This window comes from Homo sapiens, chromosome 12 (assembly GCF_000001405.40).
Source record: "Homo sapiens chromosome 12, GRCh38.p14 Primary Assembly".
Lineage (NCBI taxonomy): Eukaryota > Metazoa > Chordata > Mammalia > Primates > Hominidae > Homo > Homo sapiens.
This window is the reverse complement of record NC_000012.12, coordinates 6,665,473-6,691,579: the sequence shown is the minus strand read 5'-3', so window position 1 is coordinate 6,691,579 and position 26,107 is coordinate 6,665,473. Positions and strand designations below refer to the sequence as shown.

Genomic DNA, 26,107 nt, shown 5'->3' with positions numbered 1-26,107 from the left:
AAGCTTTTCCCTAAGGAGTTCAAAGCACTTGAAACTTCTTTTTTTTTTTTTTGAGATGGAGTTTAGTTCTTGTTGCCCAGGCTGGAGTGCAATGGCGCAATCTTGGCTCACCACAACCTTCGCCTCCCAGGTTCAAGTGATTCTCCTGCCTCAACCTCCCAAGTAGCTGGGAAACTTCCTTCTTATAGCAAGGGCAGGAATAGGGCTGACGGAGACACGGAGACCCAGGAAGTGCCCAGTTAACATAAATAGGAAAAGAGCAGGAGGAGAACCAGAACGTATAGCTATTATTACTATTTCCTGTTCCCACCTTTCAATACCAGCCCCTGATGTCAAGGTTTCTTGAATCAGCAATCTCTAACCCACACAGCAATAGGTCTGGTCACATCTGAGCCCTTAAAATCCTTACTCTGCCAACTGTTGCTACTCAGTCAACAGAGACTGAGTGCTGAGCCCAAAAATGTGATAAAGGGAACAGACACTTTAAAAAAGATACAAACTACAATTACAATGAAATGCATCATCTATTTAAATATTTAAAGGCGTACTTTGTTACTTTCTTGCTTTGACCTTGGGGGAAAAAATCACTTAATCCTTTACAGGCTTATTTTCATTATCTGTAAAATGAGCATTATAATTATTTCTGTTAAAGTTATTTTTTGCTGGGCGTGGTGGCTCACGCCTGTAATCCCAGCACTTTGGGAGGCTGAGACAGGTGGATCAGTTGAGGTCAGGAGTTCGAGACCAGCCTGGCCAACATGGTGAAACCCCGACTCCACTAAAGATACAAAAAATTAGCCCGGTGTGGTGGCGGGCGACTGTCATCCCAGCTGCTAGGGAGGCTGAGGCAGGAGAATCGCTTGAACCCAGGAGGCAGAGGTTGCAGTGAGCCAAGATGGCGCCAATGCACTCCAGCCTGGGCAACAGGGTGACACTCTGTCTTTAAAAAAAAAAAAAAAAGGTTATTTTTCTCAGCAAGAGGCTCTTACCATTAGTAGGAGAGACCTCAGTTCTGCTTAGAGCTGAGCCCAGGGGGATTCTGGCCAGGTCGGGGTGCACGCTTGTAACAGCATTCACTTGTTCAAACAACATATTCAGCATTTACTATATGCTCAGCAAAGCAACGTATTTCCTTCCATGAGGAACTGACAATCTTGCTGGGGAATCACATGTATGAAATAGTTAAAATATCAATAAAAGGTACGTATTAAATACTATGGGAATTCAGAGGGACCATTACAGGTTGGAGCAATCAGGCAAGGCTTCCTAAAAGGGTTCATATTTAGGTGTTCATAATGAACTATAGTTCATTTATACAACAAGAGTTTACAGACCACTTAACTGCCAGGATATGAGGATACAGCAACGAACAATTCAGTCCTCGCTGTCCTGTAGCCAATATTTTAGTTGGGAGAGGTGGACAGCAAACAATAAATCAGGCAGTAATAAGTGCTATATTTAAGTAAAACAGGGTAAGGGGATAGAGATGTGGGTATGGGCAACAAGAAAAGACCAAAGTAAAGTAAGGGATGTGTCAGAGAGACAGATTTTGATGGCTGGGAGAGTTTCTAACTGGACCTAAGTAGGGACCTCCGAAAAACAAGGATACGTCCTAGTCCTTTCCCGCATATTCAAAGCATTGAGACATTCTTGGGGGTATCAGAAAAAATAATGGTAATTTCCTACATCAGCTTATTCAACATCCAGAGGGAAGAGAAACGGGGTCCCAGCATCTGAAGAACCCACACCTCCTCTCCTACCTTGATGGATAATTCATGAACCTGTCGCGTTTCCACCCCCCCACCTTCCCCAGATGTCCCTTCCGGAAGCTCAGGGCCGGAGTCCTCCGGTTTCAGCTTTTGCCCCTAGCGGAACCCGCCTTCACTTCCGCTATAGCGTCACATCCCCTCTTCCCAGTCGCTGGGCAGAAGCTATTTCCGCCCCGAGTTATCGTAACTTCTGCCCTGAATATCTCGCAGCGCTAGCGGCGCCGGAAGTGTTCCAGCCACTCCCGGAAGTGACTCGGCTTCTGCACGCCCCTCTTTCTCCATTAGCGCCCCCCCTACATTGCTATTTCCCTCCCTCCCCCCTTTTCGTTTCCGGCGCTCCCGCCTTCTCTCCGCAGAGCTCTTCTCTGAGCCTGTTGGGGGGAGGGAGGGGGGCGTGGAGGAACTGGGGTTCGCGGGAGCACGAGCTGCAGCACCACTTCCGGGTGAGTGCAAGGGGAGGGCAGCAAGGAGGGGGGGCCACCCACTACCTCGCGCCCCCGCCCTGCGGGTGTCTCGCGCGCGTTCCGTGCGTGTGAGTGTGTGGGTCTGTCTCGCTCCAGAAGTGCGTGCCCGCGCGCTGCGCCTTGCGCTTTTTCCCCTCCCTCGCCCCTTCCTGGTCCTCCCACCCTCCTCGGCTCCCTCCTTTCCCAGCAAACGCCGCCCCTCCCGCGCCCTGGCTCAGGCTCTGGCGCCGCCGCAGCCGTCGCCGCCCGGTGAGTCTCGCGCCGCTACAGCCGGCGCGCGCCAAGCTGCTTGCTCCTCCCCCCTCCCCTTTTCCTTGGGCAGGCGGGGAAGGGGGGGTCCACGATGTGACTGTGTGTGTGTCCGTCCCGGAACCGGAAGTGGTTGTGGAGGAGCGGGCGATGGGAAGGAATGGGGGGGTTTAGGGGGCGGGTGCCTGTCTGGTGGGTGGCAGAGTTCAGCTCCCTGGAGGGGAAGGAGGGACGTCCCAAGGAAGGGTCTTTGAGAAAGGGGTAGGGGACGACATCAGGAGAAGGCTCCCAGGAACTGTCTCAGGGGAGCGAAGGTTTTGAGGGGACAGCTGGGGTCTCCAGTAGATAGACCACGGTGCAGGCTGAGGGAGGTACTTCTTGGCACAAGGCCTCGGGTAGGCAGGGGGCGAAGTCCTCGAAGAAGTGGGGGGAAGGCTAGAGGAAGTGGCTGGGCCTGAACTGGCACTGTGCCTGCCACAAGGTCTTGTGCATCCCCCAGCCCTCAGCTTTGCCTTCTGAAGCCACTCCTCAGGGGCACAGACCCTCCTCCTCCTCCATCTCTAATGTTCTCTGACCCCTGGTTACCTGTGGCCTGGGAACGAACAAGGACCAGTCTCTGAGCCTAGGAGTGAAACCCAAACGCTGGTGATAGAATTCGTCTTAGTTTCTGGGAATTGGATTTATTTCTCTTGTATCCACGTAGAGGGTAGCACTAGACTGCTGTTATTATATCCACCCGTCTTTGGATTGCTGGCTGGGGGGTCTGCCTGCCTTCCAGACTGACTGCTGACAAATAATTCCTGAGGTTCTCCACAGTTCTCTGGTGGCTGCACCCTGCCTGGCCCCTGTAACCTAGACAATTTGTTTACAGAAAGTTCAGGAGCCCTGGAAAGGAGAAGGAATAAGACGGCAGGAGGAAGAGAGAGAGAGGGTAAGATGATTTTTGGGTTAATGGCTTTTCTGGTTTTGGGGGAGAAGGGGTCACAACCAAATGGGGCGTGTGTGTGTTTCACAATGTGATAGAATACTTAAAGTAATAGCAATTGTAATGCTGAGATTGTTGTGGAGAGAAATCAGTTTTTTTCTATTATCTCTTGAGGGTCAGGAAGTTTTTGTGTAAAAAGTTGGCGCTATCCCCCATCACTTTCCATTCCTACTAATGCTCATCAGGAATGAAATATGAAATGCTCAGGTGAAGCCACTGAATAGTGTTGCCTTGTGTCCAAAGGGGAAATCTTTATTCTGCTTTGGGACACAAAGACCCTAAATGCCAATATAGTCCTTATGGAATTGCTTTCCTGTGTCTGGAACAAGCAGAGCTGAGTTTAGAATGGAGTTCCTATCCCAAATAGTCCAGTGGAGTGTTAGAAGTGGGTCTGTGGAGTGATTAGAATCTGTGACACAGGGTTATTTGAATTTGGTATGGCAAGATGAAATTTTCAGGGGAAAAAAAAAACTGCTTCATGGTTAGTCTGGAGTGAAGTGGATAAAACTGTACGGAGTAGACTCCAGAAGTAGGTCTGGAAGAGTTTCGGGTAGCCTGAAAATGACAGTGAGTGGACCTAAAGAGTTTGAGTTCAGAACTTATGATCCCAGAGGTTGGTTTATAAAATGCCCTGTGGGTTTCTGAGCCAAGTTGTTGATTAAATATTGGGTACATATCTCTTCTTCTCCAGTCTTATTTATTTATTTTGGCCTCACATTCCCCAGATCCATCATTTATAGTGGAACAGACAGGGCAAGGAGAACCACCGTGCCGTCCCTCCCACAGGATGCAGGGTAAAGTGGTCCGGTGGTGCCCAGGCTAGAAGCTGTTGGCCCAGGTTGCCAGCTGTGTGGTGGTAGCAGTCCTGTTTAGTTTGTTTGTGTATGGTGTGATGATGTTTCCCAGTAACATTGGGGTGCATTTGTTCTGAGTTACTTGTACTTGGAAGAGTTTATGGATACTGGCGGGAAAGCGTCACATCCTACTGGGATGGCCCTTCTTGAATGTCTTTAGACCCTGAGAGAAAGAGATTTTGTTTCCTTTTGGAGAAACAAAAAAAACTTTCTCTGTGTTTCTTCATTTCAAGTCTTGAGCTAAGGTAACCTTTCTGCAGTTGTGTGTTTTGGAATGGTTTCTCAATAGCGTCTTAAGTTCTTTCTGTAGTTGAATTCAAGTTGATTGTTTTTTTCCATCTTTTTCTTGTTGATGCTACTTGTAGATGATTTCTAAACCGGAGGCTATAGATTTGTTACTTTTGGGTAGTTCCTTTGTAATTATGTAGTCCTTATGTAATTTTCACTAATTGTCGCTAATAGTCCTCATCTTGTGGAAGTGTTTCTGTAACTCTTCTTTTCAGGAGCACTTGGGGCATTTCATTCTTTCTCTTTTTTGTGCTGCCTTTATCTCATCACCATATGCCTTACAAACTTATTTATACAGGCCTCATCCTCTTCCATCCTCCATCCTGATAGAAACCTAGTAAAATGGTTAATTCATCCACTTAAATAGTTAAGAGTCATCCACTGATATAGGACCTAGAATTAGAATTCACAAGTCTTGGCCGGGCACGGTGGCTTACGCCTGTAATCTCAGCACTTTGGGAGGCTGAGGAGAGCGGATCACCTGAGGTCAGAAGTTCAAGACCAGCCTGGCCAACATAGCAAAATCCCGTCTCTACTAGAAATACAAAAATTATCCAGATGTGTTGGCAAGCGCCTGTAATCCCAGCTACTTGGGAGGCTGAGGCAGGAGAATTGCTTGAACCCAGGAGGTGGAGGTTGCAGTGAGCTGAGATCACGCCATTACACTTCAGCCTGGGCAACAAAATGAGACTCTGTCTCATAAAAAAAGAATTCAGAAGTCTTGATTCCCAAGGCCATTCTCTAGCTACTGAACTTGATGAGTGTATTTCATGGTTTTCTAAGGGTTGGTTGTGTTAAGGGAATGCTGTTTTCTTGGGGAAAGAAAATCATGCTTTATTTGAAAAAACAACAGTAAAAAAACAATTAGTGGGTTCTGGGAAAGAGATGGTGGTCTTCACCATATCTGCCAAAAACACCTGCTGGAGGCCATGTCATCTTTATCCCTGGATGGTTGGTAGCATTACGGAAGGATGTGGTCAGATAGACAAAGCTCTGGGCCAAGAGTTCAAGTCCTACCGTGTTTCACGACTATTATTAATACTTGATAGTGTCTCTCTTCTTTATCTCCTGAGGGCTTCTGAGATTTGAGATTGGAGAAGGAATATGTAGTTCCTTGTGTCTCTTAAGAGAAAATTACTCTCCAACTTAATTAGAGTAAACCTGCCTTCTTTTTTTTTTTTTTTTTTTTTTTTTGAGACTGAGTCTCGCTCTGTCGCCCAGGCTGGAGTGCAGTGGTCTGATCTCCTTTCACTGCAACCTCCACTCCACCTCCCAGGTTCAGGCAATTCCCTGTCTCAGCCTCCTGAGTAGTTGGGATTACAGGCGCATGCCACCATGCCCAGCTAATTTTTTGTATTTTAGTAGAGATGGGATTTCACCATGTTGCCCAGGCTGGTCTTGAACTCCTAAGCTCAGGCAGTCCACCTGCCTCGGCCTCCCAAAGTGCTAGGATTACAGGTGTGAGCCACCTCGCCCAGCAGTAAACCTCCCTTCCTATTAACAGAACAGTTGAGGCTTGGTGCAATAGTAAAGTTGATATGAGAACCCAGATTTTCAGCCTGCCAGCATTTTTCTTTCCACCAAATTATATCTTTCCTTCTCTTCTGTTTTTTCTTTCCTTTCTATTTCTTTTTCTTTTTTTCTTTTTGAGACAGGGTCTCACTCTTTTGGCCAGACTGGAGTGCAGTGGCGTGATAATGGCTGACTGCAGCCTCGACTTCCTGGGCTCAAGCAATCCTCCTGCCTCAGCCTCCCAAGTAACTGGGACTACAGGTGTGAGCCACCATGCCCGGCTACTTTTTTAATTTTTTGTAGATACAGGGTCTCCCTATTTTGCCCAGACTGTTCTTGAATTCCTGGGCTCAAGTGATTCTCTTACTTTGGCCTCCCAAAGTACTTTCTTTAAATATATAGGCATAATCATTAAAATTGGCACTCTCTGTGTAGACATGAGTTTTCTGTGTAACATCAGTGGGCTTCTTTGGGTGATAAGAATGTTGATATGTGCCTGATTGAATGTTGGGATGATTTGGAGAAATTTCCTCCACGAAAGATAGAGTAAGCGGTAAAACAGACAGTAAGCAGATATTTGAGTGATCTGGCCCCAGAACGCCCTGTTACACAACTCTAGGGGGCGCCATTTACATTGTATTCTAGCAATAGTTTTGATTCTTAGCTCTCCATTGATCTCATTTCAGGAGTACAAAGATGAAGTCAGCCTCATCAGTAGCACAGTGGCATAGCATTTCTCAGGTGTCATTTTGCTGGTAAAGGTTGCTTATAGTTGGATGAGCAGTTCTCTCTGTGGTCTCCCTTTTGGGCTGACCTATTTATCGGAAGCTGGTAACGCATATGTAGTGTCTTGTCCTTGGACCAGACACACCAGTTTATTGGATGCAATAAACTAGGCATCCAAGTAAGTGGAGGGGCTTTTTATTTATTTTCCTTTGTAAAGTCCGGCCTCTTTATTCAGGCTCTGTCATCCTAAAGTAAGTTATCTTGGTAGCTAAGTGAGGTTTCACAGAATAAGGAATATGACCTTGAACTGCATGTCATTTTGCTGTTATCAAAAACTTCAATTTTGAAAACATTTTTTGAGAACTAGCTGGAAAATAGTTCATTCCTGGAAATATTCTAAATTTTATTTCCTGGATCAAGCCATAACATCAGAAAGTGTGTACTACAGTTATATGGTTTTGGTTCCTTGTAGAACCCCTTTCCTTAACTTGCCCTTTGGTGCCTGGATTCACATTCCTGCTTTGCTATTTACTGTTGGACTCTGTGCCTCCAGTTTCCTCATTTCAAATGGGAATTACAGTACCTACCTCATTGTTGCAGGGACTAAATGATGTAGTAGTTGTAAAGTGCTTAGAACACTACCTTGAACACAATAAGTGCTTAATAAGTTTTAATGATAATGATAGTGGTGATATTGTCCACCAGTTTTTTTTTTTGAGACGGATTCTCACTCTGTTGCCCAGGCTCGAGTGCAGTGGTGCGATCTTGGCACACTGCAACCTCCACCTCCCAGGTTCAGGTGATTCTCCTTTCTCAGCCTCCTGAATAGCTGGGACTACAGGCGTGCGCCACCATGCCTGGCTAATATTTGTACTTTCAGTAGAGACAAGGTTTCACCATCTTGGCCAGACTGGTCTTGAACTTCTGACCTTGTGATCCACCTGCCTTGGCCTCCCAAAGTGCTGGGATTGCAGGCATGAGCCACCGTGCTCAGCCTCCTCCTTCCTACGTTTTCACATCCATAGTGCATTTACTTTACTTCCTTGATTCTTTTTTTTTTTTTTTTTTTTTGAGACAGGGTCTTGCTCTGTCACCCAGGCTGGACTGTGGTGGTGCAATCTCGACTTACTGCACTCAGGTGATTCTCCTGCCTCAGCCTCCCAAGTAGCTGGGACTACAGGTGTGTGCCACCACACCTTGCTAATTTTTGTATTTTTATTAGAGATGGGGTTTTGCCGTGTTGGCCAGGGTGATCTTGAACTCCTGAGCTCAAGTGACCCACCTACCTCGCCCTCCCAAAGTGTTAGGATTACAGGCATGAGCCACCACACCCAGCCAACTTCCTTGATTCTTTTGGGAAAATTATACATTGGCCCTTTCTTTCGTTTATTCTCCCTCCTAATTATTATTTTTAATCTTTTTTATTTTATTTTATTTTTTTTTTGAGACAGTCTTGCTCTGTTGCCCAGGCTGCAGTGCAGTGGTTAGATCTCGGCTCGCTGCAACCTCCACCTCCTGGGTTCAAGCAATTCTCCTGCCGCAGCCTCCTGAGTAGCTGGGATTACAGGCGTGTGCCACCATGCCTGGCTAATTTTTGTATTTTTAGTAGAGATGGGGTTTCACCATGTTGACCAGGCTGGTCTCAAAGTCCTGACCTCAAGTGATCCACCTGCCTCAGCCTCCCAAAGTGCAGGAATTACAGGCATGAGCCACCACACCCATTCTCTCCATCTTAATTCTCTACTTAATTCCCACCATTTATCACCACTCTTATCTCTTGTCTGTCATTTCTTTCCACTAGAAGGTTAGACAGGGATTATGCATTGAGACTTGAACCCCTAGCATTGTCTGCAAAATCTATATGTAGGTAGTCTACCGTTGTTCAATTCATTAAATATGTAATTGTGTCTTAGGTGATAAAGTCGTATGTTGGGGATATTTGTAAGATACAGATGTAAAAGATGTGATTGCTCCTTCCCAAAAAGTTTGGCAAGATTGAATTCTCTTAAACTGTGATCTGATTGTATCTTGATTCTGTTGCCTGAAAACGTGAGACTCCCATCTTTGCTTTGTTTTGTTTTTTGTTTGTTTTTGAGACAGGGTTTCTCTCTGTTACCCAGACTGGACTGCAATCTCTACTGACTTCAGCCTCTGCCTCTCGGGCTTAAATGATTCTCCTGCCTTAGCCTCCCAAGTAGCTGGGATTACATGCACCTGCCACCATGCCTGGCAAATGTTTGTATTTTTTGTAGAGATAGGGTTTCACCATGTTGCCTATGCTGGTGGACTCAAGCAATCTGTCCACCTCAGCCTCTCAAAGCGCTGGGATTACACACATGAGCCACCGCAACTTGCATGTTTTGTTTTGTTTTGTTTTGTTTTGTTTTGTTTTGTTTTGTTTTGTTTTGTTTTGGAGTTGGGGTCTTGCTCTGTTACCCAGGTTAGAGTACAGTAGTGTGTTCATAGCTCACTGCAGTCTTGAACTCCTGGGCTCAAGCAGTTTTCCCACCTCAGCCTTCCAAATACCTAGGATTATGGGTATGCACGACCGCACTCACCTCTTTTTTTTTCTTTTTCTTTTTTTTTTTTCAATTTTTTTTTTTTTAGAGACACGGTCTCAAATATATTGCTTAGCCTGGTCTCAAACTCCAGACCTCAAGTGATCCTCCTGCGTAGGCCTGCCAAAGTGTTGAGATTACAAGCATGAGCCACCACACTCAGCCGTAAGACCCCTTTGTAAAGCTATGGCTGGAAGGACCAAGTTAGTACCTGTATCAGATACTGATTAGTTTTATTGTGTTTTATAACTCAGAAAACAGAATTGATGTATACTTGATCTTTGGTCATTTAATAGCGAGCCTGTTTATGTGAAGCTGTTGTAGTCACAGATTTGGTACATTGCACCCTCGCTACTTTTTAAAAAGGCTGAAATACAGTTTTTCCCTTTATAGATTTTATGAAAATTGGGGGTGCTGTTTAATAGAACAAAAAAAGTGATGTTTTCTATAAAAGGATAAGGAACAGAGTTATGTTAGAGTAATTTTCAGCTTCGGCGCCTTTGTTGAAGATCCTTCCCTGTTTCCTTAGTACTTAAAACTGAGTTTCTGTGCCCAGCCTACCCTTTAGCTCTCAGTATCTTAGTGTTTGCCTCCAGTGTATCCTCAGTGGGTCAACTTGCCTGTCACGGGTCTTCCCCACCTGAACCTTGGTTGTGCTTTGCTCAGAGTAGCAGCCTGGTAATACTGTGTATTTATGTACTTTTTTTGTTACTCGTTTCCCCATTTCACCAGTCTCACACTCTCTTATTTGCCTTTTGTGGGGCTCTATCTTTGCTGGTCCAGGATTTTGGGAAGCTACTCTTGACCAACATACTGCCAATTAAACCTTGCCAGGAGAAGTGATCAGAATGTGAAACTGGGTGGTGGGATGCCTGTGTTCTGTACCCATCTGTTATTTGTTGGCATGATTCGGAGGGGTTACTTTTCTTCTTGTTTCTCAGAAAGTTTTTTTTTTTTTTTTTTGAGATGGCGTTTCACTCTTGTTGCCCAGGCAATGGCGCAATCTTGGCTCACTGCAACCTCCGCCTCCTGGGTTCAAGCAATTCTCTTGCCTCAGCCTCCCAAGTAGCTGGGATTACAGGCATGCGCCACCATGCCCCGGCTAATTTCTTGTACTTTTAGTAGAGATGGGGTTTCACCATGTTGGCCAGGCTGGTCTCGAGCTCCTGACCTCAGGGGATCCGCCTGTCTTGGCCTCCCAAAGTGCTAGGATTACAGGCGTGAGCTACCATGCCCAGCCGGAAGCACAGTTTTTGAGAAATAGGAAGCAGGAGTCTGGCACTGTGTGTGTATTCTGGCCTACTATCATGCCTATTCTGCATCCCTTTGGAAACCTGGGTTACTACTAGTGCCAGGACACTTTCTAAAACTAGAAGTGCTTTGATTCTCACTGCTCAGCGCGGCATGTGTGGTGCCCAGTGTAGCACCGTGGGTGTTCTTAGACCTTGGTGGGATTGGTGGGGTGTGGTCTTCAGATAGTAGTTGGTACTCAAAATATGTTTTGATTCTGATTTTTTTTTTTTTTTTGAGACGGAATTTTGCTCTTGTTCCGCAGGCTAGAGTGCAGTGGCGCGATCTCAGCTTACTGAAACCTCCGCCTCCCGGTTCAAGCAGTTCTCCTGCCTCAGCCTCCCAAATAGCTGGGATCACAGGCATGTGCCACCACGCCCAGCTAATTTTGTATTTTTAGTAGAGATGGGGTTTCACCATGTTGGTCAGCCTGGTCTCGAACTTCTGAGGTCAAATGATCCACCTGCCTCAGCCTCCCAAAGTGCTGGGATTACAGGTGTGAGCCACCATGCCCAGTCTTCATTTTTTAATTTTCTTAGTCGTATTGTGTTCTGGCCTGGAACCTTCTCAAACTACACAGAACTGTAGACATATTGGTTGGAACTCTTGAAATTTTTATTGGCTGGGCACAGTGGTTCACGCCTGTAATCCCAGCACTTTGGGAGACTAAGGTGGGCTGATCCCTTGAGCCTAGGAGTTCAAGACCAGCCTGGGCAACATGGAAAAACCGTGTCTCTACTTTAAAGAAAAAAGAAATTAGTCTGGCATAGTGTCACACGGCCTGTAGGCCTAGCTCCCTGGGAGGCTGAGCCTGGAAGATTGAGGCTGCAGTGAGCTATGATTGTGCCACTGCAGTGTAGCCTGGGTGACAGAGTAAGACCCTGTCTCAAAAACAGAAAAACTAAAATTTCTATTTCAAGGAATATAGTTTTGAAGAATAAGAGAAAGAGGAGTCATGCTAGGTACTGGCACCTGGCCGTTTTCAAGTCAGTCAGTGATTTGTTTTTTGTGACCTTAGCTACATCATCTCCCCTCTCGTGAGCTCAGTTTCTTTTTGCCAGCAAAGGAAAGTAATACCAGTTTTTCTTTAGGGGGCATGAATAACATTGTGTGAGTAAATGTGATACGTATAAGTTCTTTCACAGTCATGAAGTAGGATAGCCTCTGTTGGATGGGGATACAGTGACAAGGGGCTCTGACCAAGGGACTAATGTGCTAGACACTAAGTCTTGACTGCCAGTCCCCAGCCATGTGATCAGGTGCCAGAGGAGACCAGGAACTCTTCAGTTCCCCTTCTCCATTGCTTAGCTTTTTCTGAGTAATTCCTGAGTGTGACATGTTCTCTCATTTTTTCTTCAGGTAGAATGGAAGAATCTCACTTCAATTCTAACCCGTACTTCTGGCCTTCTATCCCCACAGTCTCAGGTCAGGTAAGTGGTGTTGCTTTCTTGCTCTCTCCAAGTCTCAGTAGTAAGTTCTGTTACTATGGAGACTGAAGGTACACCACATGCTGTTTTACTGGGTCCCCCACCCCTGAGAATTATCTAGTGTTTCTGCCTGGGCTTCTCTCTAGAAGGCCAGAGGTATGAAGTGCTCATCCTTGATCCCTAAGGAGGACAGACACTGAAGTGTGCTCACGAGCAAGCAGAATCAGCCTCTCAGGCTGAAGAGGGTGCTCCCGTCCCCTTCCTTTTCTCTTAGATCGAGAACACAATGTTCATCAACAAGATGAAGGATCAGCTGTTGCCAGAGAAGGGCTGTGGTCTGGCCCCACCTCACTACCCCACCTTGCTGACAGTGCCTGCCTCAGTGTCCCTGCCCTCAGGCATCAGTATGGACACAGAGTCCAAGTCAGACCAGCTGACCCCACACAGCCAAGCGTCCGTTACCCAGAATATCACGGTGGTCCCTGTGCCGTCTACAGGACTGATGACTGCTGGTGAGCAACTCTGCTCTTCTCCAATCTGAGGTGTTGATCTTCCATGATCAGTACCCCAGGCTGGAGGGCTCCAAGGACATGGGGAGTGGGATATGTGTTTGATTATTCAATCAAATTTTTATTAAGTGCCTACTGTGTGCCTAGCAATGTGCTAGGCATTGTGGGGGATACAAAGAAGTAGAAGATGCGGTCCCTGCCTTTGAGGAGGTGACATTCTTTCCTTCTCTGAATCAAGGAGTCTCCTGTTCTCAGAGGTGGAGAAGAGAAGGGAGTCAATCAAGGGGTAAATCTCACTGTTACCAGGGGGGTGGGGACAAGGGTTAGGAGACCATTATTTTTCTACAGGGTTTGGGATTTCCTGTGTACTCTGGGTTGGGTCGGCGGGGGGGTGAGGGGTTAATTAGACAATGATCTGGGGGAAATGAAATAGGATTAGGATCAGGACTGAACAACATGACGCCATCTCCTTTTTCTCCCAATCCTAGGTCCGGGTTTGGTAATCACGTCCCCCTCAGGCTCTCTTGTGACCACAGCATCATCAGCTCAGACCTTCCCCATTTCGGCTCCCATGATTGTCTCAGCTCTTCCCCCTGGCTCACAAGCCCTGCAGGTTGTCCCTGACCTCTCCAAGAAGGTAGCATCGACCCTAACCGAGGAAGGAGGCGGAGGTGGTGGTGGAGGTGGCAGTGTGGCTCCTAAGCCACCCCGGGGCCGGAAGAAGAAGCGGATGCTGGAATCAGGGCTGCCCGAGATGAATGACCCTTATGTCCTCTCCCCTGAGGATGATGATGACCATCAGAAAGACGGCAAGACCTACAGGTAAGACTCAGAGCCAGGGGCAGGATGGGGCGAGGATCCCTGGCTTGGTGATTCTCCCTGTACCCTCATTGTGTTCTGCCCCGGTCAGGCGCTACACTCTGACAGCTTCCCAGCTCTGAGCCACTTGCATGTCAGGTGTCCCATCATAGGATAGGAGGCAGAGCTGCTAGCATCGTGTTAGGATGCAAAGACCCATTTCACCCTTTCCTTTTTTTAACCCTTGTTTTGGGGGTCGTTAACACTGACTAATTTTTTAGTAACAGAGTAGAATTTCTCTCTTGTAATAAGGCTTTATGCTGGGTTTGAGACTCTTGGCTGCAGCTCCTTTTTGCTTTCTACATATTCCATTCCTATTTTTCTAAGAAACCTTTCTAGTAAGCACCTAACCTATGTGCCATCCACCAGTTCCTGGGTCGCATTTGAACACTGAGCCTGCCTTACCCTGCATGGTTGGGATGATGGGAGGGGCCTTCATAAGAAGGTAGGAGGAATAGGATGCCTCCCCCTTTGGAATATGTACTTAAAGAATGACTTTGCTCACTTTCTAATTTATGAAAGTCATTTTGATTCTCCACTTCCTCTAAGTTCCCCTTTACCAAAAAGCATTATATGCGTATTTGCATGTGATACTCTACAAAAATAATTACATAAGTAAACTCCCTGCCCTTTGAAAGTTGAACATCTTTTAATCCCTTTGAGAACTGTCACGTGCCCTAGTGGGTTTGGGGAGTTTGGTAGCACTGTATAGAGTGGGATAACTACTGTCACAGCTTTGATATAGACAGGGGCAGATGTGCATGGCTGGGAGTCTGGGTCTGTCCTTAGTTCCTTAGTGTACCCAGATGGGCAATGTTGTTCCCATTTTAGGAGCGAAGGGAACTGCGGCACAGGAAATGGACAGAGCCTTGGGCTCATGGATTCAGTTCCCGGCTCCACCACGAATTTGCTGTGTGACCCTGGGCAAGTCCTTTTCCCCTCTCTGGGCCTCAGTTTCCTCATCTGTAAAATGGGGATAATTCTGTTTATGCCTCCCGTTTGTTGGGAGTATATATCAGATAAGATTTGAAATGTTGGGAACTTCAAAAGAAAGTTAAGAAATTAGTTATTTAGCATTTATTTTTATTTGTGTTGTATAGTTCTACTATGGAGAGTAGCCTACAGAGTGTTTAAACCGCTCTTTATAAATGAAAATGAGAGGAGTGTTGCTATGCAGAATTGAGCACTGCAGAATTCCAGCTCATAATCCAAAAGTTCATTGCAGCTTTATTATTACAGGTGTACCCCACTTTATACAATAAAAGTGTTCCTGGAAAATGTTTCCATCATATCATATTATAAAGGTACCTGACAAGTTTGATTCATTTAAAGGCATTCTCTTATATATCAGTTCATAAAATTAAAATCCCTTTTAAGTTATCGTATAGAAATCTAGATTTTTATGTGTTTGTTTAAAATGAGGCCATTGTGAGATGGAGATACATCTATATACAATTTGTGGAAGTAGTAGAAGGATCCTTTAACACTCTATAGAGCCCTTCTAATGGATCAGGGTCCTCTCATTCTGCCCTTTCTTCACTGTGACCCACATTAAAGCTATCTCTGGACTTTCCAAACTGTATATATTAAAAGAAATGCACATATACAGTTGGAAGAAAGCCTCATGGGGCTTTTCACACATTCAGTATTTTTGGAATTCCTGAATGACCATCCACCCAGGAGACTACAAAGAACTTTGAAATTGAAGGGAGACTTATTGTATCCTAGGTAAACAGAATTTCTTCAGAAACTCAGAACTCTTGACATTCCAAAGAAATTTTTTTTTTTTTGAGACGGAGTCTCGCTCTGTCGCCCAGGCTGGTGTGCAGTGGCACAATCTCAACTCACTCTTAACTTCTGCCACCCAGGTTCAAGCGATTCTCGTGCCTCAGCCTCCCGAGTAGCTGGGACTATAGGTGCGCCACCACGCCCAGCTAATTCTTTTGTATTTTTAGTAGAGACAGGGTTTCACCACGTTGGCCAGGCTGGTCTCGAACTCCTGACCTCAGGTGATCTGCCTGCCTCGGCCTCCCAGAGTGCTGGGATTACAGGTGTGAGCCACTGTGCCTGGCAAAAGAAATCTTTTTATCACAGTGAATTTCTGTTTTGATGCATGTGTGGGTCAGCCATACCCTCTTCAGTGGTCAGTAGCATTTGACTGGCTATTGGGGCAGTTGGGTTCTGTTACTCTGGTCAAGTCAACGTATCTCCCACTCTTTGTTCCCATATATAAAATGGGAAGATCAGCCATGCCTTCATCTGTCTTGTAGAAATGTTTTGAGGCAAAGTCAGAATATTTGAAATTGTTTTGAGCATTTTAGGAAAAATGGATAATAATTCAAAGTGGCCATACTTGTAATTATTATAATCAAGGCCATTGCATTGCATGCTTCCAAGGGGTCCCGTTCTCATTGTGTTGGATGTGAATGGTGCCCCTGGAGGAAGGCACCCCATGATATGGATGCTGGCTTTTCTATCCCCTGCTGACTGCCACGACTCTCCAAAACTAAATTTCTTTCCAACCACCCAGCACCTTGCATTAGAGGACTCTCTTACTTGACTTCATAGGATTTTCAAGTTGGAAATATTTTAATGATCTCCTTGGTCAGTCCCTTCCTGGCAGATGATTCCAACCTCTGCTTGAATACCTCTGGTGTTAAGAATCTTAAAGTAGGCTGGCATCATGGCTTTGTAGTGAATAACTGCCCTTTGGCAAATTACTTACTTTCTGAGTCTTTGTGTTCCTTTCTGTAAAAACATGGATAAGACTTGCCAGGTTGTGAGGAGTAGAAACAATGTGTCTGAAGTGCCTAACCTAGTGCCTGGCACTGTCAGGCATAACAACAAATGGCAACTATTATCATTGTGGTCATCATCATTATTATACCTAGTGTCTTCTGAGATTGCTCATTCCCTTGCCAGCACATTATAAATGAATTTAAGTTTTGCAAGTTCTCTTATTGGAAACTTTGACTAAGTGGGTTATTATTATTTTTTAAAATTAACCTTAATGTTAAGGGCAGAATTGTGTATTGAACACCCTCACACACAAATTGACGAGATTTTATTTGGGTTAAAATAAATATGTTCTACCTGTCTGAGAAATTGTAGCATCAAGGGAAATTAGTTTGCAACTTTAGTACAGTTGCCCTTCAAGGGACAATGTGTCCAGCTTCTAACTTCAGTCTTAGTGAAATATTTACTAGCATGAGCTTGTCCATCAGCACTAAGGCTTAAGATGAATGCAGTTTTATTACTGGAGAATACTTGGCTTACCTTTGACTGTCCTAGGCATTTGCTCGCCCTTCTGGGGGCAAAAATTTATCTTTCCATTTTACAGACCAGAAAATTGAGGTCTGTTAATGAGCAAGTTTGTAACTGAAGCCTGAGTAGAACCCAGGCATCCTGATTCCCACTGGTTGTGTCCTTTGGATTATGCTCACTATAAACAGAGCCTCCCCCTCTCTCCTGCAATGATTGGGCATCTCAGACAACTGCCAGGGATCAATAAGCTGGTAACTAAAAAATTCTCCTGAGATGAAAAAAGTGCAGAAATCATGATCCCACACCATCTGAAGCCTCTCTTAAGAAGATAAGTTAGGGAGAACCCAAAGAAGAGGGACTTGTGCTAATTGCCTGGCTTCCAGGCCATTGCCTTTTCTACCAGCTCCCATTTTACACTGGTGAATTGTTTACGAAAATGAAAGATAGCTTTTACTCAGTAAAGTCTGAATAGTTGTGGCTTAACTTGCTCAGAGGCCTCCTTATTGATATTTGGTGGACAATACCAGAGTGGAAAGGATTACCAGCTTGGGATGAGTGAAAGTACGATCAGGTGCTACTGATGTCAACCCAGAGTGCTGACACTGGCTCCATGTGCTAGGGAAGAGGAAAGGTTTAGCGTGGAAGATAGGTGTTTTGTAATCATTTTTCTCCCAAATGCTTGAGGGATGGCACCTTCCCCTAGCAGCTACGTTGGTCATTGCAAAAGTGGTTTTCACTTGATTGTCAAGGGGCTGTGGGCAAGGGGTGGGTAGATGATGGATGCAACATCAGATAAGAGGGTGGAGAGCAGACATACCTGGTTTGAAAAAGCCCCTCCAAATAATTCTGATACTTCCTCACCCCCATCCCTCTAGGAATCGCTGCCAAAAAGGAAGTAGGGGAAAATCTGAGGGAAGAAAATTATCTATGGAGACAGGAGAGGATCCAGTTAGTTGTTCCTCATTATCATCTCGGGGTCTTGAGGAATACAGAGGCATGTGCTTCATACATAGGAACATCAGAGCAAGGAATTCCTTAAATGTTTGAAATCAAGCTGTAAGCAGAAGGCAAACAAGTTAACTGATATTCCTGGCCCATTGAAATTCGCATCTGCCCAGAGTTCATACTGTTTCTGTTTTATCTGGTTGAAATACATTTTTGCACATGGAGGCAGTCCAGTCATTCAGCAAACATTTATTGAATATTTATAATGTGCTGGGCACCATGTTAGAAGCTTAGGCCATAAAGATGAATATATAGAGCTCTACTCTCAAGTTGGAGTAGGAGAGACCTCAGATAGGTGGGCTTCTCTTGGAAGTAGAGGGGAGGGTTCAGCCACACCTTCTTGATGGGAAGGGTTCTAACCATTGCCCTCACTTGGCTCAGGTGCCGGATGTGCTCACTGACATTCTACTCCAAGTCGGAGATGCAGATCCACTCCAAGTCACACACCGAGACCAAGCCCCACAAGTGCCCACATTGCTCCAAGACCTTCGCCAACAGCTCCTACCTGGCCCAGCACATCCGTATACACTCAGGGGCTAAGCCCTACAGTTGTAACTTCTGTGAGAAATCCTTCCGCCAGCTCTCCCACCTTCAGCAGCACACCCGGTAAGGCTGCTCTTGGTTTACCCCACCACCTGGCCGTGAACCCTAAGACCATGTTGCCTGCACCTACTCCTCTCTCCACATGTATTATTCTTTCCCTTTCACCTTTGCCCATTGGTAGCCTCAACCTCCTATTACTGTCTGTGGAAATTATATATCCTAGCTATTTGGGGGGCCTTGAAAATTGTGGTCTCCAATTCCAAAGTCTGGAACAATTTTTGTGGTTTCTCTCTGTGTCTGTGTTTGGAAATCTTCTGCAGAGCAGGCCTGCTTTTACTATATGCTTCAGTTCAGAGCCAAGGTGTGCATTCAACTTCAGGTCCATGGGGAACAGGCGGTATTGGTCTTTGTTCAGATTACTATTTGGAAGCAGGGTGTCTGTGGTGAGTGTGTTAACCTTAGGAGAAAGCGGAGGGTTGATGAGATTGACTACTTTAAGGTTACCAGGAGCCATGGGTTGCAGCTCTTCATCATCTCACTGCCATTCTAGCCACCGACTTACGATCAGCAACAACCTAGATCTGGGTGTCCTCTTCATTTGCCTATCCAGGCTGGAGTGTTTTTGGGAGGAGGGAGGAAGGGGGTGCTCTCATCCGTCAAGCAACGTCATTTCACCCAGCAGAGAGCTGAGCCCCTGGTGTCGAACTGCTTCCTCCTCCCCCCTTCCCTCCTCTCCTCTCCGGCAGGATCCACTCCAAGATGCACACGGAGACCATCAAGCCCCACAAGTGCCCGCACTGCTCCAAGACCTTCGCCAACACCTCCTACCTGGCCCAGCACCTCCGTATCCACTCGGGGGCCAAGCCCTACAACTGTTCCTACTGCCAGAAGGCCTTCCGCCAGCTCTCCCACCTCCAGCAGCACACACGGTAAGGGAGAGTGGCGGGCTACTGACCCCGCCCCGCTGGCATGCCCTCCCCACCCCCGCCCCGGACACACACAACAACCCGCATGCGGGGGGCGGGGGAGAGACCTGGCTGGAGGAGAGACCTGGCTGGCATCTGGGAGAAGGAAGACCAAACAACACTGGAGATTCAAGTGGACACAGAGCTTCTCTGGGGCAAGAGCTACGTCGGGGAGCTGCAGTGACTATATGATATTCACTGATCCATGGGAGACAGACACGTACCTGGAGTAGAAACAACTTTTCTCTAATTTTCCTCCCTGAAAATACTCATGTACCCATCTTGGAAGATTTGCCCCTTGATGCCAAAACAGAGGCATTTGAGTGGAGAAGACCATACCTCTAGCCCTTAGGGCACCAATTATGAACAGGAAATAAAATCAGACATTAGCTGGGCACCAGCCTGGTGACACCCACAGCAACAAGCAAGGCTCTGAGGGATGCCAGGAGTAGAGAACAAAAGAAAACACGTACTAAATGTTCAGAGAGAATCAGCAAACAGAAAATGAAAACGCTTATGCTTCATAAAGATGCCCAGTGTTTATCCCGTGAATCTGGAGTGACTAGGAAGAAGGGAACCTGCCAACTAGAAGTGATGATCTTTGGTGCTATCTCAAGTTGAACTGGAGTCCAGACTTACAGGCCATAGACCGTCTCACCCGGCTTCTTGTGGATGTGATGATCTCACCTTAAAGTGATCAGACATCTTGCTTTGAGAAGAGGAGGAGTCAGGCTTTCCTCACAAATAAGAGACACGTCCTGTGATGTTTTTGAGATTTTATACCAGAGGTCCCGAAAAGCACCTGGTCATAGAGATGGTTCTGAAGTCGCTGATGAGGAGCAGGTGTCACTGCACCCTCAAGTCCTTGGCTCATCTTAGCAGAGGGCCCTGTGGTGTTGGGGAGAGAGGTCACATTGGTACTAAACTAGGCATTTCCTGTCATTAGGGGGCTGGGCTGCAAAAAGCACTTAGTTTTCATGAGTTTCCATTAATATCACTACTACTCTCCACAATCAGTGTAACTGCTTTTCTTTGTTACCATAACATTCTCTGGAAGTGATGCTCAAGGCTGAGGGGACTGTTTCTGGCCATAAGGTGGGGCCAAGGAAGACGCGTTCTGCTTTTCTTTTTCCTTGCCATTGTGTTTATCTTGTGTTCTTGAATGTTCGTTAGGACAGTTACTGTAGGAGCTGACTTGAATGCCAAATTGTGGGCTGCCTGTTCCTTGGGTGCCAAGTCCTCAGTCTCTCCTCCCCCAGCAGAGAGGAGCCTCAGCTTGAGCTGAGTGATGCAGGCATTGACCAGAAGCAAATCATCAGTACCTGATCCACATCAGAGAGGAAGGCTGGTGCCTCTTGGAGGCCCATCTGATGTGCCTCCTTAGGAGAGCAGGATGGGCCTGGAGAAGATTTGTTGAGCCAGTTCCTAAATGGTCTTGCTGACATTCTTTCCCTTTTTTCTCTTATCCTGTGCAGAATCCACACTGGTGATAGACCATACAAATGTGCACACCCAGGCTGTGAGAAAGCCTTCACACAACTCTCCAATCTGCAGGTAAATGTTCCACCCTCCACACAAGACCTTGAGTCTGAGACATGGGGCCATTTGAATAGTATCGTGGTTCTCAAATGTTTTCAGGACTCCTTTACACTCAAACATTATTGAGGGACCCAAAGAGTTTTTGTTTATGTGGGTAATAGCTGTCTACATAGACGTTGTAAAACTGAAAAACCTGAAAAATATTTATAATAGTAATCTGTTTAGAAAGAACAAAAATAAACCCATTGTGTGTTAACATAAATAACATATTCCAAGACCCTCCAAAAACAACTGAGTGAGAAGAATGGCATTATTATACATTTTTGCAGGTGTCTATTTTTTATTTTTGGGACAGGACCTTGCTCTGTCACCCAGGCTGAGTGCAGTGGTGTTATCATGGCCCACTGCAGCCTCAGCCTCCCGGTCTCAAGTGATCCTTCCACCTCAGCCTCCCAAGTAGCTGGGATTCTAGGCATGCACCATCACACCTGGCTGTTTTTTTCATTTTCGTAGAGATGGGGTCTTGCTATCTTCCCTAGGCTGGTCTCGAACTCCTGGACACAGGCCATCCTCCCGCCTCAGCCTCCCCAAAGTGCTAGGATTGCAAGCATGAGTCACCGCACCTGGCACAGGGGTCTTTAATGTCTTAAGCTAGAAGATGAGTAGATTCTCAGATCTGCTGCATCTGGCCTATTGTGTTATCACACATCATGTAACCTCTGTAAGGGTTACATGTAAAACATAAGGCACAATGAAGCCACTTGAAATTTTGAGGGGAACAAGATTTCAGTTAGGTTTTTCATCTTTGTGTTTGTGTGTGTGTGTGTGTGTGCGCGCGCGCGTGTGCGTGTTTGAGACAGAGGCTCGCTGGGTCACCTAGGCTGGAGTGCAGTGGTGTGATTTCAGCTTACTGCAACTTCCCAGGTTCAAGAGAGACAAAGGCAAACATTGTCTTATTATTTTGAAAAGATTTGGCTGGGCGCGGTGGCTCACACCTGTAATCTCAGCACTTTGGGCGGCGGAGGCGGGCGGATCACCTGAGCTCAGGAGTTGGAAACCAGCCTGGCCAACACGGTGAAACCTTGTCTCTACTAAAAATACAAAAAAAATTAGCCAGGCCTGGTGGCATGTGCCTGTAGTCCCAGCTACTTGCAGGCTGAGGCAGGAGAATCGCTTGAACCCGGGAAGCGGAGGTTGCAATGAGCCGAGATTGTGCCGCTGCACTCCAACCTGAGCGACAGAGTGAGAGACTTCATCTGGGAAAAAAAAAAAAAAAGAGTTTTGACCCTGTGGGCCCCCTGTGAAGGTCTTAGTGTTCCCTAAAGATCCCCATGCCTCATTTTAAGAACCACTGGACTGGTGAGACGGGCATAAGCTGTCTTGGGATCCTGGTATGTGCTACATGAGGTATGCTTCCACCCTTAGCCTGTAGCTTCTCAAGTTTCATTTGAAACAATTTCTACTTTCTTCAGATAGAGGGAGAAGCTGGGAGGCCTGACACCTACCTTTTTGCTTTCCATCGAGGTCAAGGGGGCAGGAGGAAAGAGTACAATGTATTCATTCTGGTTTCTCCCAATTTTCTCAGTCCCACAGACGGCAACACAACAAAGATAAACCCTTCAAGTGCCACAACTGTCATCGGGCGTACACGGATGCAGCCTCACTAGAGGTGCACCTGTCTACGCACACAGTGAAGCATGCCAAGGTGTACACCTGCACTATCTGCAGTCGGGCATACACATCAGTGAGTGCTCCGTTTCTTCTCTCCTTCCTCATAGTCCTCTAAGAGTACAGTCCACTTCACCCCATTTTCTGGGTAGAGATCTGTTGCAGTGAATACCCTGCCTCCCTAGCTCCAACTTAGCAGAACAGGTAAATATTCAGAAATTAATTAGACCCATTCTGAGGAATTTAGGGGATGCCTGATCTCCTAATCCTATAGAGACGCATAAGCTGTAATTCTTCATTTTACTTAAACATAAGGCAAAATAAAGCCACTTGAAATTTTGAGGGGAGCTGGATTTCAGTTAGGCATTTTCTTCTTCTTTTTTTTTTTTTTTTCTTTTTGAGACACAGTCTCGCCCTGTCACCCAGGCTGGAGTGCAGTGGTGTGATCTCGGCTCGGCTCACTGTAACCTCCACCTCCTGGGTTCAAGCGATTCTCCTGCCTCAGCCTCCCAAGTAGGTGGGATTACAGGTGCATGTTGCCATGCCCAGCAACTTTTTGTATTTTTAGTAGACATGGGGTTTCACCATGTTGCCCAGGCTGGTCTCAAACTCCTGACCTCAAGTGATCCACCTACCTCAGCCTCCCAAAGTACTGGGATTACAGGTGTGAGCCACCGCACCTGGCCCAGTTAGATATTTTCCATGAGACTCCAGAAAAGGTTGTAAAGTTGTTTCATTCAGGGGTCTTTGAAAAAAATAGCAGCTCATTCCTTTGCCAGTTGAATGTTGAGTGACTTCTAAAGGTTCCTCTCTTTTTTTTCTCAGTAGTGAGCCACTGAAAGTGCTACTTGAGTTTTGCTCAGTCTTGGCTCCAGAAAACCAGTATAAAGCTTACTCTGCTTACAGCAGAATCAGAGCCTGGGGTGCTAGTTACAAGTAATCTCTTTTCCTTCCTCTTTATCCCTCAACTTCTTTTTACCATCTCCCTCAGGAAACATACCTTATGAAACATATGCGCAAACACAACCCGCCTGATCTTCAGCAACAGGTGCAGGCAGCAGCAGCAGCGGCAGCAGTGGCCCAGGCCCAGGCTCAAGCTCAAGCCCAGGCTCAGGCTCAGGCTCAAGCCCAGGCCCAGGCCCAGGCCTCCCAGGCATCACAGCAGCAGCAGCAGCAGCAGCAGCAGCAGCAGCAGCAGCAGCAACAGCCACCACCACACTTCCAGTCTCCTGGGGCAGCCCCCCAGGGTGGGGGTGGTGGGGACAGCAATCCCAACCCTCCACCCCAGTGTTCCTTTGACCTGACCCCGTATAAGACGGCGGAGCATCATAAGGACATCTGCCTCACTGTCACCACCAGCACCATCCAGGTGGAGCACCTGGCCAGCTCTTAGAGATCCGTGCTGCCACCCACTGGGAAGAGGAAGAAGTAGTCCTGGTGTCTTCTTTCTCCAACTCTTGGTGGGAAAAGTCCTTTTCTTCCTTGACAGGCCTTGGCTCCATCTCCTTGGGCCTCTGTCACGGCTTTCCTTCACAGGATACCATCCTTTTTCTGAACTCTTCTTCAAAAGGAACATCAGCCCTCCTGATTGCAAAGGAATACTGAGCTGATGGTGTCATCCAGCAGCCTCCCCTCCCAAGCAAAGCTTCTAAAACTGGGGGTCGGTGCTCAAGGGAAGGATTTGCTATGACCTCATAGAACCTTGTCCAGTGTGGCCACTTACCCTATCCTTACCCTCCTTATCCTCAAAGTTTGGGCTGATGTAAGACTAGAGGCTGGCCCTCCCAGATAACAGAGAAAAGGGAGCCCCAAATGCAACCAGCCTCTTGTTCTATTCTTGCCTGCAAAAGAACAGAGGTTTCTCAAATGCCTCAGTCCCTGAGAGCCATTTCTTCCCCTACATCGTCTCACTTTGCTTCCTATTGACTGCTGGTAGAAGGAGATTTGGGGTAGGGGCTAGACCTCCTTTTATTTGAAGGGGGCAAGGGCTGAGATGTGGTCCCCAAGGGGCCAGAAATTCCCAAGTTGGTCACAGGTGGCTTAGAAGTGTGTGTTATGGTTTTACGGATTTCCTTGAAGCCTCTCTCCTTCTCTGCCTACAAAGACCCTATACTCTCAGTCTCCCCAACCCACCCCCAAGGAGCTGTGGGAGGCTTTGTGTTATCTGTGAAACTCCAAAACAGGGGTGTTGCGGAGAAGGGAGAGTTCAAGGCAAACGCAAGGACTGGACTTAGCTCCCTAGGTGCCACAGTCAGATGCCGGACACGGATTTATATATAAATATATATATATAAATATATTATACTCACTCATCACGGCCATCTTTGTTGTAACCATTTCTGTGTTTATAAATGCATTATCTCTGAGAATTTTCATATTTGATGTTTTGTTTATTTTTGTCCTTTTTTTCCCTCTCTCCACCCCTGTCCTCTAGCCACAGCATTTTTCTTTTTGTCTTTTTTTTTTTTTTTTAAATCATGGCAGATTTCAGAGGAAAGGAAATTAAAAAAAAAATCAGGAAACCAGTTGTTATAAAGTAATTTAAAAATGAAGAAAAAAAGAAAAAAACTTATGTACAAACCAAGGGGTGTTTTTAGAACATTGTATAGAAATAAATTCATGTAAAAGGATCAGAGGCAGTGGAGCTACTGATGTGAGCGAGCATGCGGAAAAGGTATTTGGGGAGATGTCCAAGAACAGTACTGAGGATTTATACCAGAGTGTGTGTGTGATGAACAAGTGCTTGTGTGATGATGCCCCATTTGTGCAATTCTCCAGTCATGGAAGGGTACAGTTTCATGATGTCTCCAGTGAAATCCTGGTTTATGAGGACTTCTACATACACATTCTGTCATGGGGATTGCATTGCCTAAATATGTGAGAGCAAGGCTTTGGTTATGTGTTAACAAAACAGCTAAGCTCCCTATGGAAGAAAAATGGAAGCCTCTTGAAAGGACCTACACTCCTGCCTGAGTCTGTGGAAGAGGGGCTTGCAGTTGGCAATGTGTATACATATGTGTATTTGTTACCTTGTGGAAATCATAACCGGTTAAGGGGTGCAAGATTGATTTATGCAGGAGAGCTGTAGTACTATGGAGTAGAATGTGGTCATGAAACCTGGACTTCAGCCCTTTGCCTACCATCAACCAGTGTTGGCCAGGGTGCTTCTTCAACTGTTAGTGAAGGGATTGGACTAGATAACTCTGAAGATACCTTTTTTGAGAATTAAGTAACTTGCTTTAAGGCTGGGTGCGGTGGCTCACGCCTGTAATCCCAGCATTTTGGGAGGGCGAGGCAGGCAGACTACTTGACGTCAGGAGTTCAAGACCAGCCTGGCCAACATGGTGAAACCCCATCTCTACTAAAAATACAAAAATTGATGGCCGTGCACGGTGGCTCACGCCTGTAATCCCAGCACTTTGGGAGGCCGAGACAGGTGAATCATGAGGTTAGGAGCTCGAGACCAGCCTGGCCAGTATGGTGAAACCCCGTCTCTACTGAAAATACAAAAAATAAGCTAGGCATAGTGGTGGGCGCCTGCAATCCCAGCTACTCAGGAGGCTGAGGCAGGAGAATCTTTTGAACCTAGGAGGCAGAGGTTGCAGTGAGCCAAGATCGTGCCATGGCACTCCAG

At 46.3% G+C, this 26,107-nt stretch overlaps 1 protein-coding gene across 83 annotated transcripts, besides 4 other annotated features; it reads left to right on the top strand.

The window, feature by feature from the left end:
- Positions 1,727-2,353: an enhancer, noted in NCBI's record as "NANOG-H3K27ac hESC enhancer chr12:6798393-6799019 (GRCh37/hg19 assembly coordinates)". NCBI's record gives its function as "activates a minimal SCP1, AML or CMV promoter by ChIP-STARR-seq in naive and primed H9 embryonic stem cells {active_cell/tissue: H9 hESC(naive and primed)}" and the evidence as "EXISTENCE:reporter gene assay evidence [ECO:0000049][PMID:30033119]".
- Positions 1,727-2,356: a biological region, named in NCBI's record as "NANOG-H3K27ac hESC enhancer GRCh37_chr12:6798393-6799019".
- ZNF384 (zinc finger protein 384) lies at positions 2,008-25,103 on the top strand. Of its 83 annotated transcripts, none has more exons than NM_001385743.1 (12): positions 2,008-2,212; positions 3,354-3,413; positions 12,055-12,125; positions 12,397-12,634; positions 12,870-12,917; positions 13,120-13,453; positions 14,321-14,413; positions 18,140-18,364; positions 19,048-19,230; positions 20,742-20,820; positions 22,391-22,549; positions 23,465-25,103. In NM_001385743.1, exons 3-12 carry the CDS (start codon positions 12,060-12,062, stop codon positions 23,864-23,866), a joined length of 1,827 nt encoding a protein of 608 aa, NP_001372672.1. In that variant the 5' UTR covers positions 2,008-2,212; positions 3,354-3,413; positions 12,055-12,059; the 3' UTR covers positions 23,867-25,103. The 83 variants fall into 83 exon arrangements, 78 of the variants coding, with proteins under 78 accessions (NP_001372672.1, NP_001372685.1, XP_011519224.1 ...); NR_169759.1 differs by lacking the exon at positions 19,048-19,230 and adding an exon at positions 14,729-14,793 and having other exon boundaries at positions 2,205-2,482; NR_169761.1 differs by lacking the exon at positions 19,048-19,230 and adding an exon at positions 14,729-14,793 and having other exon boundaries at positions 2,205-2,743.
- Positions 2,087-2,166: a silencer, noted in NCBI's record as "silent region_4178". NCBI's record gives its function as "represses an Ori minimal core promoter by ATAC-STARR-seq in GM12878 lymphoblastoid cells {active_cell/tissue: GM12878}" and the evidence as "EXISTENCE:reporter gene assay evidence [ECO:0000049][PMID:35858748]".
- Positions 2,247-2,356: a silencer, noted in NCBI's record as "silent region_4177". NCBI's record gives its function as "represses an Ori minimal core promoter by ATAC-STARR-seq in GM12878 lymphoblastoid cells {active_cell/tissue: GM12878}" and the evidence as "EXISTENCE:reporter gene assay evidence [ECO:0000049][PMID:35858748]".

Coding starts and splice junctions, on each gene's coding strand:
- ZNF384 (NM_001385743.1), top strand. CDS start 12,060: ATGGAAGAATCTCACTTCAATTCTAACCCGTACTTCTGGCCTTCTATC. Junction 12,635..12,869: donor TACAGGACTGATGACTGCTG/GTGAGCAACTCT, acceptor CTCTGAATCAAG/GAGTCTCCTGTTCTCAGAGG. Junction 14,414..18,139: donor AATTTGCTGTGTGACCCTGG/GCAAGTCCTTTT, acceptor CACTTGGCTCAG/GTGCCGGATGTGCTCACTGA.